The 15,073-nt window shown below is 41.3% G+C and overlaps 1 protein-coding gene across 9 annotated transcripts in view; it reads left to right on the top strand.

Moving 5' to 3' along the window:
* Nucleotides 1–15,073, top strand: part of PMFBP1 (polyamine modulated factor 1 binding protein 1) — a 133,293-nt gene that overhangs the window by 77,925 nt on the left and 40,295 nt on the right. For 5 of the 9 annotated variants that reach the window (XM_047434734.1, XM_011523361.4, XM_011523358.4 and 2 more), the window contains 2 exons: nucleotides 757–828; nucleotides 7,109–7,261. In XM_047434734.1, coding sequence (XP_047290690.1) covers nucleotides 817–828; nucleotides 7,109–7,261 — 165 coding nt within the window. In that variant the 5' untranslated portion in view covers nucleotides 757–816. Of the gene's footprint in view, nucleotides 1–8; nucleotides 293–756; nucleotides 829–1,375; nucleotides 1,395–7,108; nucleotides 7,262–7,538; nucleotides 7,655–15,073 lie in introns of those variants that run through there. The other 4 variants (NM_001160213.2, XM_011523360.4, XM_011523362.4 and 1 more) reach the window with 4 other exon arrangements.

The raw sequence follows: 15,073 nt of genomic DNA, 5'->3' as shown, positions 1-15,073 counted from the left end.
TTAGGGTTAAAAACAGAATGAATGAGATGATTTTAATAAGCTCAGTGCATTATGACCTCAAATGCATCATCCTGTACTTACATGCACATACATGTGCAAAGATCTTTGGTTTCCTGGGAGGCTTTCTAGCTAGATAAGTCTCAGCACTTCACATGTTTCCTAACTTTATGAGCATCAACATTATGGCAAGCTGATGCTTCAAAAACACCATATCATCAGATATTTCATATGAATAGTTACAAAATTAATGGAAGCTCCTCATAGAGTAGTAAGAGAGCCTCTGTGACCCTGGGTAAGTCACTTAGCCTCTCTGGGCCTCAGTTTCCTTATCTTTAAATGAGGATAGTAGTAGTCCCTGCCTCCCAGGGTTCATGTGAGAATGAAGTTAGGTCATGCACATCATGTCTGGTTCATAATAAGTACATAATATTAGCTATATCTGAGCCATAGAGTACATAGAAATCTAAAAAGTAAACTCGATTCAGACTTTTTGCTTTCCAAGAAGGGTAAATTCAGAAACTGTTTGGTTCACCAAGTAGTGGTTTTCTGGAAAAGATGTAAAACCATGGTCCTGCCATCTGGAGGTTTTAACACCCTTTTAAAAACACAAACAGATGGGTAAGCAAGTGGGTATTGCTAACAGTTCAGGAAAATTTTCCAAACCTCTTGCTGAGGGCATAGATCCAGCTGGGAAAATCTTTAAAGGGCAGAGGCTCATTTATACTTTTTCCATCTTAAATACTTGGACTTTTTCAGGTTTATAACAAAGCTCAGAAAATACTAAAGGTTAAAGGAGAATTGAGAGCTGCCAAGGAAATGAAAGATGAGGTAAGGCTCCTAACTCCTCTACATGCATGGAGTTGAATATTCATTACAAGGGACTTTTTTCATGTTTTATGATTCAAAATTCCAGTAATAAGCATCACAAAATATCATGGACAGAGGTGGGCAGCAGAGCATCGTGTTTAAGAGCCCAGACTCGAGCTGGGTGGGTCTGGGTCCATATCTACCAGCAGTATGATACTGAGTTTGTTTCCTACTTTTAAGTTTCCTTTGCCTTATCTAGAAAATATGAATTGTGATCACCTACTCTAAGTTTCCTTTGCCTTATCTAGAAAATATGAATGATGATCACCTATTCCAAAGACTTGGTATGAGGATTAGCAAAGGTAGTGCATGTAGAAAGCACTTAATCGATATTAACTATTGTTGCTAACATTCTCTCTTTATCTGGAATGATATGAAAATGGAGTGTCTGATTAGTTTAATATTTTGGTCAAACTGTGTTTATGGGGCCAGGCGCAGTGACTCAAACCTGTAATCCCAGCACTTTGGGAGGCCGAGGCAGGAGGATCACTTGAGCCCAAGAGTTTAAGACCAGCCTGGGCAACATGGTAAGACCCCTGTCTCTACAAAAAATAAAAAAAATTAGCCAGGTGTGGTGGCACGCTCTTTTGGTCCCAGCCACTCAGGAGGCTGAGGCAAGTGGATCACTTGAGCCTGGGAGGTTGAAGCTGCAGTGAGCCATGATCACACCAGTGCATTCCAGCCGGGGCGACAAAGACCCTGTCTCAAACAACAACAACAGCAGCAAACTATGTTTATGTATGCCCTACCTTGTTCCAGAAAGGATTTAAGGGGACTTTTTTGATGAGTAAAGGATTGTCCCATGTACCATATGCTTTTTAACAGACCTCCTACCAAGAGGTGAGCAGATTCTGAAACAGGCAGTCCACTCCTTTCCTGCTGCATTACTGGAGCCATACAGAACTTCATACCAGTTCTGTGGGGAACAAGGATCTCGTATGGATTTTCTAGAAGGCTCTTTCTTCATTTAATTTATATCTTTGGAGCACCTTCAATATGCCAGGCGTTCATTGTTCTAGGAGCTGGGAATAAAGCAGTGAACAAAATAGACAAAGATCTCTACTCTCATGGAGCTTACCTTCTTAGTAGAATAATTTCTCAAATGATATGATAGTGAAAAAAGTCTGTGAAAATTGCCCAGGTGCCAATAAAAATCAGCCCACGTTCCATAGGTGGCTGATCTCCAACATATGTCATATGTATCCTAGTCTGTATACTTACAGGGTGTGCCAATTTTGTTTTTATGGCAAACACTAATCTAGCCTTCCATGATATGTGTCAGACAGTGTTCTAAGTACATTGTATTTACCAATGCATTTAATCCTTGCAACAACCTTAAGAAAGCCATAATTATCTCTATATTATACATGGGGAAATGTAGGCACAGAAGTTAAATAACTTGTGCTTGAATACACAGCTGATAAGGGGATCTCTCAGATATCTTTTTTAATTTGTTAATCTGTGTGTGTGTGTGTGTGTGTGTTTATCTTTCTTACATTTCATAATGTTTTCTTTATTTTTTAAATCTTTTTTATTATACTTTAAGTTCTGGGATACATGTGCAGAATGTGCAGGTTTGTTACATAAGTATACACCAATTTTAAAAGAATTTAGAACACCATAAAATATAGTCACTCCTCAGTATATGAACATAATTGGTTCTAAATTTTTGTTCACAGGCAAAACCTTGTATAAGTACCCATTAATTTCATTCATAAGTAATGCAAAAACTGTAATATTTCTATAAATGGAAAAGTCAACTTGGGAATCAAGTCAGTAATATCAATAATAGTGTTTAAAATTACTGTAGATAACTGTAAACTCTACTATTACACAAGTGAAATGTAAGAATTCCTGAATCAATATTAGTTTTTAAGGTTTCATGATTCTTAAGGCATAACTCTTACCATAAATTGAATGGTTGTGATATTAGTGGTGGTTAAAAGTGGTTTCCCATTGATTATTGAAGATTTGTCCTCATCCTCAGACAAATAAGATAATATCCCAAAGATGATGACCTTTATGGTGTTATTGGTTGAATCCAAAATTACTCCGATTTTCATGTTGAAATGCCACATCCCTGGGAATGCTGCCATTTTGAATCTTTGCAATGCTCTTGGGCTCTGAAAATGCTACTGAATCACGAGCTTCAATTTAACATTAGCTTCCCCCAAGAAGAAGCTTGAGACTGTTAATACTTGGAAACCTAAAGCAAAATGTCTTCTCCTATTTTGAAATATATGTTTGAGATACCATGCTTTTTGACAAAAGACCCATTTAATCAATACAGAAAATTTGCTTCAGTAAATAACCTATTTTCTAATAGTTATCATGAATATGGTAGCAACTGCAGTATCAGCACTCATCATTTTGCCTGTGGGTTAATAGCTGCTGCTGCTGTCATATGTTTCAAAGCAGAGTGACCAGGTTCCAGCCTTATATAAGAGAAACCGGGTATCTAAGTACATGACTTATGTAAATGAAAACTCACCTAGCAGTGGAGACTTATGATTTCAGCCATTGTTAATGACTTCAGATCCAGGACAAGATCAGATGGTGCCTGAGGGTCAACATTATGACTCTCAGTTCATCTCATGCCCCAGTAATGGTTACAGAGCTATGATTGATGAAATGTCAGATTAAATCTATCCCTATTGCATGTTGATACTCAAAAGGCATCTGCCTGGAATTTAGCCTTCATAAAGTAGATAGGATTATAAATAGTTTACAGCTAATATCTGTGCGAGATACCAGCAAGAAATTAGGTTCACTGAGACCCCAGAAACATTGGCTTTTCTGGGGTTCTGAGGTGAACACAGCCTTTTCTAATAACTCCCTATAATTAAAAATCGAACATCATTCTCGAAATCACCTGATCACTCTCCCAGCATTTTTACTCCTTTTCTGATGCATCAAAACCTCTTTATAATTTGGTCTTCAGGAGTGAATGGTTTTCTTTTCAAAAGTAAATTTCACTTGACATCCATCAAAACATATTTGTTATTCAACTGGTTTAAGGAATATTCAAAGAAAGATGATTTATTCCAAACCTTGTTTCATGAATGAAGACATTTTCTCAGAGACTCTGAGCCGATGCTAAATGTACAAATTAGATGAGATCATCTGTATTGAAGATCCAATTCTGAACTTCTGGTGGTGCAAAAGAATTGGGCTGTCAGGCCTTCTACTCAGAGGACATCCAAAACTGGAGGGAGAAAGGATATTTTTATTGTCCTGAGAGAGAGCACTTAACTTTTAATTTAGAGAGACTCAAGTGTGTATCGTTGGCATTTTGTTAGTGAGCCCTCAGTGTGCTGGTCTCCATGGGGAACAATCTGGTGTCAGGGTCCCTGCCTTAAGACACGTATATTCAGCACCAAGGCAAGAGTATAGGGTATTTGGCTCTCCTGTGGAGCAGGCATCTTGTTGTCACCTAACCTGCTCATAGATGCCAAAGAAAGACAGTCCTGTGGCCAGAGTGGAGAGGCTCCTTAGGGTCCCACTTCCTGGAGAGGCTCCATACCCTATTCCCAGTGTGGTGACCACAGGAAAGGGATCCAAAGCACCAGAATCAAACTACCACTCTTCATCGAGTTAAGGATTTTGTTTCCAAGTTAGAAAACAGTGTCTGTACACCATCTTTTAAGGCCACTCTACACATATTGTCTTAAGAGAGTCCCCATTAATTGTCTTAATGGTAATTACATGCTTGGGGCAGTTGACATCCACTGTTATTTTTCTGGAAGTGAGGAACAAAAGATAGGAGCAAGAGAGGAGGAGGGAGAGTTTTGAGATAATGAAATCCTTTTAATGACAGAGCCATGCCGTTAACCTAATTAAACTGTAAAGTGGTTAAAAAAAAAAGTCCAGGTACTAAATGGAAATGAAGAAATAAATCAGCGGAGACAGCAGCAGTTCTGGGAAACCTTCTGAATTCTGAATACTCTGACATTGCAATGTCCAATTCTCACCGTTGTCCTCCGGCCCCCCTCGGCCTTGTGCAGGGGTCCTTTAAACTGACCTGTCCAGTAAGGTTTGATTTACGATGTCCATATCAGGTCTCCAGTTCCTCTGGGAATGTGTGTTATGCAGCTCATATATTTCAAAAGACAGACCAGTCAGTTGGATATGAGGGCAGAGCACTGGCTACAGGGTCAGGAGGAATGTGCTCTCCTGGCCCTACTGCTAACCAGATGTGAGACCTTGGGCACTTTGGCTTAGATCCCTTCACTATTTCCATGCACCTATCCCCTGTCTACTATGCACTTTTGCAGCTGTAACTCTCTTAGAAGAATTGCCTTTAGACTATTGAAGTCACTTTGCCTACAGGGGCAGAGAGCTGGAAGTTCTTAGGAGCTTATAACCCATGGGATGGCCATTGGCCATTGACTGACTGATGCTGAGTTTGACAGCCCAGCTTTCATTGACACCAATCAAGACAGACTCTAAGGTGTAGCTCATATTCCAGAGTTTCCTGTATGAGCAGGCTAAAATTACTGACCACAGGACTCTCTGAAAATGTACCTATACTTGGTTTTTACCCCTTCCCTGTCCTGCTTCCCCCTCTTCCATGCTGGTTTTTCTTGGGAGTGTTTCTTTAATAGATGCCATGAATCCTCACTTAAGAACCCTCTTGGTAATCTAACCTAAGAGATAGGTACTGTATTAGCCCATTTTCACACTGCCATAAAGAACTACTGGAGACTGAGTAATTTATCAGGAAAAGAGGTTTAACTGACTCACAGTTCCACATAGCTGGGGAGGCCTAAGGAAACTTACAATCATAGCGGAAGGCAAAGGGGAAGCAAGGCACATCTTACATGGCAGCTGGAGAGAGAGAGTGAGGGGAAGTGCCACACTTTTAAACTATCAGATCTCGTAAGAACTCACTCACTATTACAAGAACAGCATGGGAGAAACCACCCCCATGACCCAATCACCTCCCACCAGGTCCCTCCCTCAACACATGGGGATTACAATTTGAGATGAGGTTTGGTTGGGGACTTGGAGCCAAACCATGTACTGACCATGAAGGAGCCAGCCTCAGTTCCTAGATTTAAAACTCAGTAACGGTAACATCTGTGCTCACAAGTGTTGTAGAAAGCCGGCACAGTGACAGAACTGAAGCACTACACAGGTTCACACAGGACTTCTTCCACCTTCCTTTTCACACCATTGCCACCCACAACTCTGGGAGTGGAGGTGGCATCCTGGAGTGATAAAGCCCCACCATCCTACAACAGCTCTGCACCTGCACCCCCACCCAAGTTACTATGCCCCACACATTCTATTTATATCTCAGTCACTACTTTCCATCCCCATCTAGCAACAATTAGCTAATTCTTTTCACTCATAATCAAAGACAGAAATCTTACGCCACCAGCCCAGGGATTTCACTTTTGTTCCCATTGTGAATGCCTCTAAAGAAAAGCACTGGGTTGGCCAGGCACGGTGGCTCATGCCTGTAATCCCAGCACTTTGGGAGGCCAAGATGGGCACATCACGAGGTCAGGAGATCTTGACCATCCTGGCTAAAACTGTGAAACCCTGTCTCTACTAAAAATACAAAAAATTAGCCGGGCATGGTGGCGGGTGCCTGTAGTCCCAACTACTCAGGAGGCTGAGGCAGGAGAATGGTTTAAGTAAACCCGGGAGGCGGAGCTTGCAGTGAGCCTAGATCGTGCCGCTGCACTTCAGCCTGGGCAATAGAGCAAGTCTCCGTCTCAAAAAAAAAAAAAAGAAAGAAAGAAAAGAAAAGCACTGGGTTTATAGGTGAGGGACATTTTTTGGTCTAGTGGGTAGAAGAGAAAGGTAAGAGACTTCAGAATCCCATATCAAGCCCATCATGGATTCACTATACTTGTCTTGACAAGTTCATTTGACATCTCAATATGTTCATCAGTGGCAGAGCCATTAATATTTATAGACAGTCCAGTAGGTGCCTAGAATTATTCTAGACACTGACTTCCTCTTGAAAAACAGGGGAATTGTCTGTTGTGCACCCCCAGCAGTGTGGTGAAGATTTAATTAATATAAATCAGTAATTGTCTGAATAATGCAGAACGGTCAGACACCTGGCAATTGGAAACTGTGTAAATGTTACACAGGATGAGTAATAACAGCTAATGGTTGATGGACAAATTTCCAGCAAATTTCAAGTCTCTGTCAACCTGTTAAGTGAATGAAAGCAGCACTTTCTTGATAGTTTATAATTGATGCTTTTGTTTTTCTGGCTGCCTAGGCGGGGGAGAGAGACAGAGAAGTGAGCAGCCTGAACAGCAAGCTGTTAAGCCTGCAACTTGACATCAAGAATCTGCACGATGTCTGCAAGAGACAGAGGAAGACCTTGCAGGACAATCAGCTCTGCATGGAGGAGGCAATGAACAGCAGCCACGTAAGGGACTTGGCAGCAGCCGCTCACCCCTGCTCTCTTGACTTCTGCCTCTGCTCCCTTGGGCGGGAATAATAGAAAGTTCTTCCACTGTTCATTCAGGAGTACTTATTAAGCAAGCAATGAGAGAGAATTAAGAGAATTAAACACACACACCCCAACGCACATACACATGGAAAATGCCAGTCCTGCCTTCAGGACTTTTCCATCTATCTCCAAGGTCATGTACATCCTAGGCACGATGTTTTCCTTATCTGGCCTTTCACACCTGTATTTACAGCTCATTGCCCTGAAAATATCAGATCATAGTGATACAAGGGGAGCAGCGTCTGCTATGGATCTCAGACAAACTTCTAAGTCAACCATGAAAATAAAAACCATCACACCTGCTCTAAGGTATCAGTGTCCATTGGGGTAGCAGGGGGTCTTTATTGCTGCACCTGCGTCTCACTGCCTGCAAGCTTTTCTTCTGGATGCAGGAACCTGATCATAGGACAAGCTCAGGTTCTCAAGAGTTAATGCCCCTAGAAGCAACCCTCAAGCAATGTCAGATGGGGAGATGGTAGATTACATCTCCCACCTTCCTTTCTCCCTAATCAGAGGTAACCCGAGGCGTGCTGTCTCACAGACTTCCTCCATGGACCTGAGCCCAGTTGCTCACAGCGGTACCTGACTTGATGACACACCTTTTTTTTTTTAACCCAATGTTGTTGTTGTTGTTGTTGTTGTTGTTACATGAGTAAGTTCTTTAGTGGTGATTTGTGAGATTTTGGTGCACCCATCACCCAAGCAGTATACACTGAACCCAATTTGTAGTCTTTTATCCCTCACCCCCCCCACCCTTTCCACAGAGTCCCCAAAGTTCATTGTTTCACTCTTATGCCTTTGCATCCTCATAGCTTAGCTCCCACTTATAAGTAAGAACATATGATGTTTGGTTTCCCATTCCTGAGTTACTTCACTTGGAATAATAGTCTCCAATTCCATCCAGGTTGCTGTGAATGCCATTAATTCATTCCTCTTTATGGCTGAGTAGTATTCCATTGTATATATATACCACATGCGAAAACATGGAACCAGTCAAATGCCCATCAATCAATGAGTGGACACACCTTTTATCTGCTTCCTTCCCTTCCTTGTTTCAGTCTCCCACTCCCCAACCAGAGTTTCCTAAGACCACCTCCCACATCAACTACTACTTGACCCTCAGTTCCTTGTCACAGAGCCTGCTTTCAGGGGTGCCCAAGTGAAGACACTCAGTAGCACTGATCCTACACATGTGTGAACATGCAGACCTCCTGGCATAAGCATCTTTCTTGAGACTGTGATTTTGGACTAATACTTATCTAGAGTCTAGGCTGTTCATCAGCTGAGATAATTTCATTTTAGCCTGGGGTTTGCTTTCTTTGGAAGCTCTAAATCTAAGGTCTTTAAGTCAGTCTCTAAATTTTTCCACATAAGCTGGGGAGCCATCTGGGAGATATTTTCCCACAGCTCCCTAACACTTTGGGTTTCCAAGAATTCTTTACTTGTGGTCTTCATTTCCATTTAGTGACATGAGTTCTCGGTAAACATAAAGAAGGTCCTAGCTGCACAGACCTGTTGCTGGACACCCAAAGTTAGCCTCTGGGAGGCTGTGAAGCCGCCACTGTGTTCTTCACTGTTTGTGGTCAAGGATCTGGCCTCTTTTCATTGCATCTATTAGAGTTCTCCCAGGACTTACCACCTCACTATTGAAACCACAAATTGTTCCTCTGCAATGTCCTAGAAATACTACCAACAAAGCATTTCTACTTCATCTTGTAAGCACTGCTTTCCTCAGGAAGTCACAAATAGAGAAAAATCCACCAGTTTCCTAAATGGATCTCAGGAAGAAGATTATCATAATTTACTTCTTTCTAAATATTAACATTTTAGGATATTTTCACCATTGCTGTCATGAGTTTACTTATTCCCCCAGTCAGGGAAAGCCATGTGGCTTATAAATGTACCTGGCAACTTGGAAGGAGAAAGGTATTAAATTGCATTTTATTATTCTAATTGCCCAGAAGAAGGTCTAACAGCTTGAAACAAGCTTTAAAGCGAGCTCTTTTTTCCCCTAGCACTTAGTGCAGAATTTAAATAGCAGACTATGCATACAAATCCACAATTAGATGTAGACTTACACTCATCCGCTCGGAAAATCCCTTTAAGATCTGCCTTCCACATGGAAATGTAATATGGGAACAAAAGGGAAACCAAGACTTTCTGAAATTCTGACTACTCTCTAACAAGGAGCTGGGGAAACAAGCAGGAGGTCATAGTTTACAACCGCAATTATGCAAGAAGATTAAAATGTTACATTAGCTGTTATGTATAACAAAAGGAGTGGCAGGGAAGGGGCAAGTGATAGAAAAGAAAACGGCATGACCTTGCAAATCAAAACTACGTTATGCTCCCAATCCCAGGAACACAGCAGGAAATAGGGTGAAGCAAATGAGGTGGCTAAGGTGCAAAATTCATGGGCACAAGCTCTTCAGGTGCCAACCTGCATGTGCTCCACCCTGAGACTGAGTGCCTCCTTAAAATTTGCACCTCACTTCCCTCACTGTAGTCCTGGCCCTGCCCAGGAATCAAAAGAGCATCTCAAAGTGAAAGGAGAAAAGAACAACAGAGACATCATAATAAAATGATCAAACCAGAAAAGAAAGGGCCTTTTGAGCAATTTTCCCAGGCTCCATTCCCTGATGGTGGCATAGGGTGCATGCCCTGATATTCAGTAGAGCTCAGATTGCCAAACTCATCTTTGAAGTGTACAGAGGACACTTTTTAGCATAAAACTATATAAGGCAAGTTTGATTCCTGTGGATAAAAGTAATTTGTTGAAGATGTAAAGATTAGTAGAATCTTGATGGGCATTATTACACAGTATCGTTTTGAATCATTGGGAATGAAAAAAAATATTTCACTGAATCTTCTAAATGCAATGTGAAATCCTGGATTGGATATTGGAACAGAAAAAACACGTTAGTGGAAAAACTGGTGAAATCCAATAAAGTATAGTTCATAGTAATCTTCCAACATTAATTTCTTAGTTTAGACAAATGTACCCAGTTATTTAAGAAGTTAACCTTAGGGAAAGCTGTATGAAGAACATATGGGAACTCTCTGGGCTACTTTTGCAATTTTTCTGTAAATCAAAAATTATTCTAAAATACTTTTTTTAAAGTGAATGTCAGGCAAGCAGAAGTCACTAGTGAGAAGAATGTCTACGTCAGAAAGATGCATCTAAAATTAATTCATGTCACTTAAACTTACAGTTCTATGCTCTGCTAGTACAAGGAAGTACAAGACATGCAATTTGTAGAAGACATAAGAAATAACAGATAAGGCCGGGCGCGGTGGCTCAAGCCTATAATCCCAGCACTTTGGGAGGCTGAGGCGGGTGGATCACCTGAGGTCAGGAGTTTGACACCAGCCTGGCCAACATGACAAAACCCCATCTCTACTAAAAATACAAAAATTAGCCAGGCATGGTAGCAGGCGCCTATAATCCCAGCTACTCGGGAGGCTGAGGCAAGAAAATCGCTTGAATCCAGGGGACAGAGGTTGCAGTGAGCTGAGATCATGCCACTTCACTCCAGCCTTGGCAACAGAGTGAGATTCCATCTCAAAAAAAAAAAAAAAAAAAAAGTAACAGATAAACCTATCCAGTGATATAAGGCTAAACTAGAGTTCAAAGGAAATATCTCACTTACTTCAAAGATAGGAACAGAAGTTCATGACAATGACTGAAAAAGTGAGTTAGTCCTCATCTGTGCTAATGGTTGCTGCTGCTACCTTGTGAACAAGGAGAAACTGATTCAAAAGCCAAATAACCCCTCATGCAATTCAGCTCAAAGTTTGAAGACTTCCTAGATTGTTCTATAGACCTCAACACCAAGAATACATATCACAAATTTAATAGATCATGCTGTATCAAAAGGTCAAATATGAAGCACTTAGAATTTTTCAACTATACAAATGTATTCTCTGGGTTCTGCTATGGCCCGGACAGTGTTAACTTCCTTTTTCTATTGTGGGTTTTGGTCCCCTCCCCAGGAAATTAATTCAGTTTGATGTATCCAAGTCTTAAGTTTCTCAATAAAGAAAAATATCTCCATTAAAAAAAGATAGTGAGACTTTTCGGTTCTTAAATGAAAAAAAAAATCATTAGGGATTCAGTTATCAGAACAATGCCAACCTAGTCAGCGCAAACTAGAACAGGGAATAAAATGGTTAAAAAGTATTTTGAAAAGCCAGCTTTAGGCAAATCAGCAGGGCCTGATGACATACTTCGAAGAGTACTTAAGGAATTGGCAAGTGTTATTACATAGCTGCAAGTGATTATTTTTGAGAACTCAAAAGGATAAAGAAAGTCCCTGTAGACTGAAAAAGGGTAAATGAAGTGCTCATCTTTTTAAAAAGGGAAAAAGGACAATCCCGGTAATTATAGACCTGTCAGCTTAACTTCAATACAAGGAAAATACAGAACTTAACATCAATCAATTAGCATCAACTTGAAAAGCATAAAGTATTGGGTGGAAACCAACGTGACTTTTCAAAAGGCAAATCATGCCAGGCCAATTAATTTCCTTCTGTGATCAAGTGGCCACATAGGCAAGGAAGGAGCAATAGCTATAATCTCTTTGACCACAAGTAGGGATGAAATGTGTACTAAATATGGGAACAGGTTCCTATGGACAGCCAGCAGTCCCCATCTTTTCTAGCAGCTGAGACCTGGATAGAAATCCAGCTGAGAAACCTGGTAGACCAGATGGCCTCCAGAATCACATCTCACTCCAGATGGTCATTTTAAGAACTAGTCTTACCTCTGTAAAATCATTTCCAACGTACTTATTTTCTTCAGATCTCAGTTTAAAAGTCAAAGAAGACTCTTAATAAAATATCTGTGTCTTCATTAGGAAGAATGTTTTAAAAAAAAAAAAAAGACAAAGAAGCAATAGGAAATAAGTTGGTGCCTTTGTGATACTGCTCTTCAGCACATTTGTAAGTGAAATGTAGGCTTCATCCATAGCGTGTCTTTTTCTATTCCTTTAGAATTTAGAAGGATAAATAAGTAGAAATTTAACTGGTCTCAAATAAGTCTAGGCATTTCTCCAAGTCTTTGAAATTTGATTCCTCTAAACCCATTGATATCTATAGTGTGCAAATGTTTAAAATTCCTATCCAAAGAACTCTAGTTTCTCTGCAGATAGAAGCAGTCCTTGGATCTTTATAACCAGGCAAATTAGGTTGGGTGCTATATTTGTCCTGTACTGGAAGAGTTGCATAAAATCTCATCATCTGGCTAGCCCATCATGTTGCCTCAGACCAAAATTAAACCCAGAAGATCCAAGACGACCTCTGGGGAAGATAAAGCATTGACATTTCACCAGTATCCCTGCCAGGCTGCTAAGTTTTATACACATCATTTAGAAAAAAGCATTTATTTCCCACCAGAAGCTTTAAGACCAAAGAGTAATTCTGAGCACACCTAAGTATAGATGGGGGTACCAGGTACTAGAGGGGAAGCCCTAAAGAGAGAGAGAGTTTGACTTCTTTTAAAAGAAGAGCATTTCTCTCATTCTTCTGGGCAGTGAAGAAAAAACAGGGACGTGGAAGCAAAGAGAAGCAAAGAATGAAGGAGACCATGGTTAGTTTTCAGCAGGGTCATACACACTCAGCAGTGGACAGATGCTTACAAAGCCAAAAGAGAAAGGATTTTGGCAAAATCTGATAAGGATATTTTCTGAGACAGTGTCTTGCTCTGTTGCCCAGGCTGGGGTGCAGTGGTGTGACCATAGCTCACTGAAGCTTCAAACTCCAGGGCTCAAGTGATTCTCTCGCCTCAGCCTCCCAAGTAGCTGGGACTACAGGCACGTGCCAACATGCATGGCTAATTTTTTTACTTTTTATAAAGATGGTGGTCTCGCTATCTTGCCCAGGCTGGTCTTGAACTCCTCATCTCAAGCCATTCACCCACTTTGGCCTCCCAAAGTGCTGGGATTATAGGGATGAGCCACCATGCCTGGCCTGATAAGAATTTTATTGGATTTATACTAAAATAAGCCCTTCTGAATTAACCCTACCACAGGATGTTCACTCCTTTGCATTAATTCTGTCCACGTTAAGTACTTATTTGTGATCATGTTTTTTTCCAGGTAGCTCCCCACCCTCCTAACTTACTATGTAAGCAGGAGGACTCAGGCTCTTCAGAAGCCCCTCTATCTGTGTATGTGCATGTACACACACATACATGAGCACACCACACACGCCACTCCCAACTCTCTTCTCTCCAAACCTCATTCACAGATGAGTTGTGAGAATAGCAGTGTTTTTATCTTGAAAAGAATGAAAGCCCTTAACAACAACATTTAATATAAATGCTGGCAATTATAGCTACACAGAGTAAATACAAAATTTAGCTTTGTTCAACTTAGAACAACTTAGAAAAGAGGTCTCATCAACTTTCCTCCAGCCACATACACTGGCGTGTCTTTGCCTAGGATTTCTTTTGCCTGGTGACCATAGTGGGTCCATTTTCTCTGTCTCTCTTCTCAATTCTGAGGCACTTAAGATGAGACACTTCCAAGAGAGCCTGGAAAGGGTCATTCAGATTGTACTGACACAATCAGCTATCATCTTTCTGGTTCTGGACTGGGTTAAGCCTCCTTTACCTTCCCTGTGCTGCCACCACCACTCTCTGTAGAGATTTTTTGTCTTTCAGGTCCCAGCTCTTACTGAATTAATCTCATTAAAATTCCATCTCCCCAGTTACTCAGACAAAAACCCTGGCATCATCTGTTACGGATGACCATCATGTCCCACCATCTAACCTGTAACCCAGCAGCAAATCCTATGTCCTGTCATTTCAAGATACATCTAGAACCCAACCACTTCTCCCGCCCTCCATTGCTACCATCTTGGTCCACGCCGTCATCCTTTGTCTGGATTATTGCAGTAGCCTCCTACCTGGTCTTTCTGTCTTTGCCTGCCTAGAGTTGATTTCCAATAAACAGCCAGTGTGACCTTCATAAAAGCTCAGGGAGATCATGTTGCTCCTCTGTTCAGTACCCTCCAAAGGCCTTTCGTCTCCCCAAAAGAAGTTAAAGTCTCGAGAATGGCTATACGATCCTAAAGACCTCACCTCCTTTTCCTATCTCACTCCATCAGGCACAGCTTTCCCCCTTACTGTCTCTGCTCCAGCCAGAAAAAAAAGTGGCTGCAACCCCTGGGGCTCCTCAAATACCACCAGGCATGCTTCCACCTCCAAGGCCATCACTCCCTGGAGCATTCCAGATACCTTCTTTTGCCTCCTTCAAGTTTCGGTTCAAACGTCAGCTTCTCAATTTGGCCTTCCATGCAAACATTTAATTCAAAAATGTAACCTCCTCCATCCTGGAATTCCTCATCTTCCTCCCGTTTCACTCTCCCCTGTTGCATTTTGTCCTTCTAATACACTACATATATACTTGCTTAGTTTTCGCTCTCCCCATATTAGATGCAAACTCCACAAAGTCGGGATTTTGTCTGGTTTTTTTTTTTTTTTTTTTTTTTTTTTTGAGATGGAGTCTCGCTCTGTTGCCCAGGCTGGCGTGCAGTGGTGTGGTCTCACTGCAAGCTCTGCCTCCCGGGTTCACGCCATTTTCCTGCCTCAACCTCCTGAGTAGCTGGGACTACAGGCGCCCGCCACCACACCCGGCTAATTTTTTTTTTATTTTTAGTAGAGATGGGGTTTCACCGTGTTAGCCAGGATGGTCTCGATCTCCTGACCTCGTGATCTGCCTGCCTCAG

This window comes from Homo sapiens, chromosome 16 (genome assembly GCF_000001405.40).
Source record: "Homo sapiens chromosome 16, GRCh38.p14 Primary Assembly".
NCBI lineage: Eukaryota > Metazoa > Chordata > Mammalia > Primates > Hominidae > Homo > Homo sapiens.
Note: the sequence above shows the minus strand (reverse complement) of the source record. Positions and strands in the feature narration are given on the sequence as shown.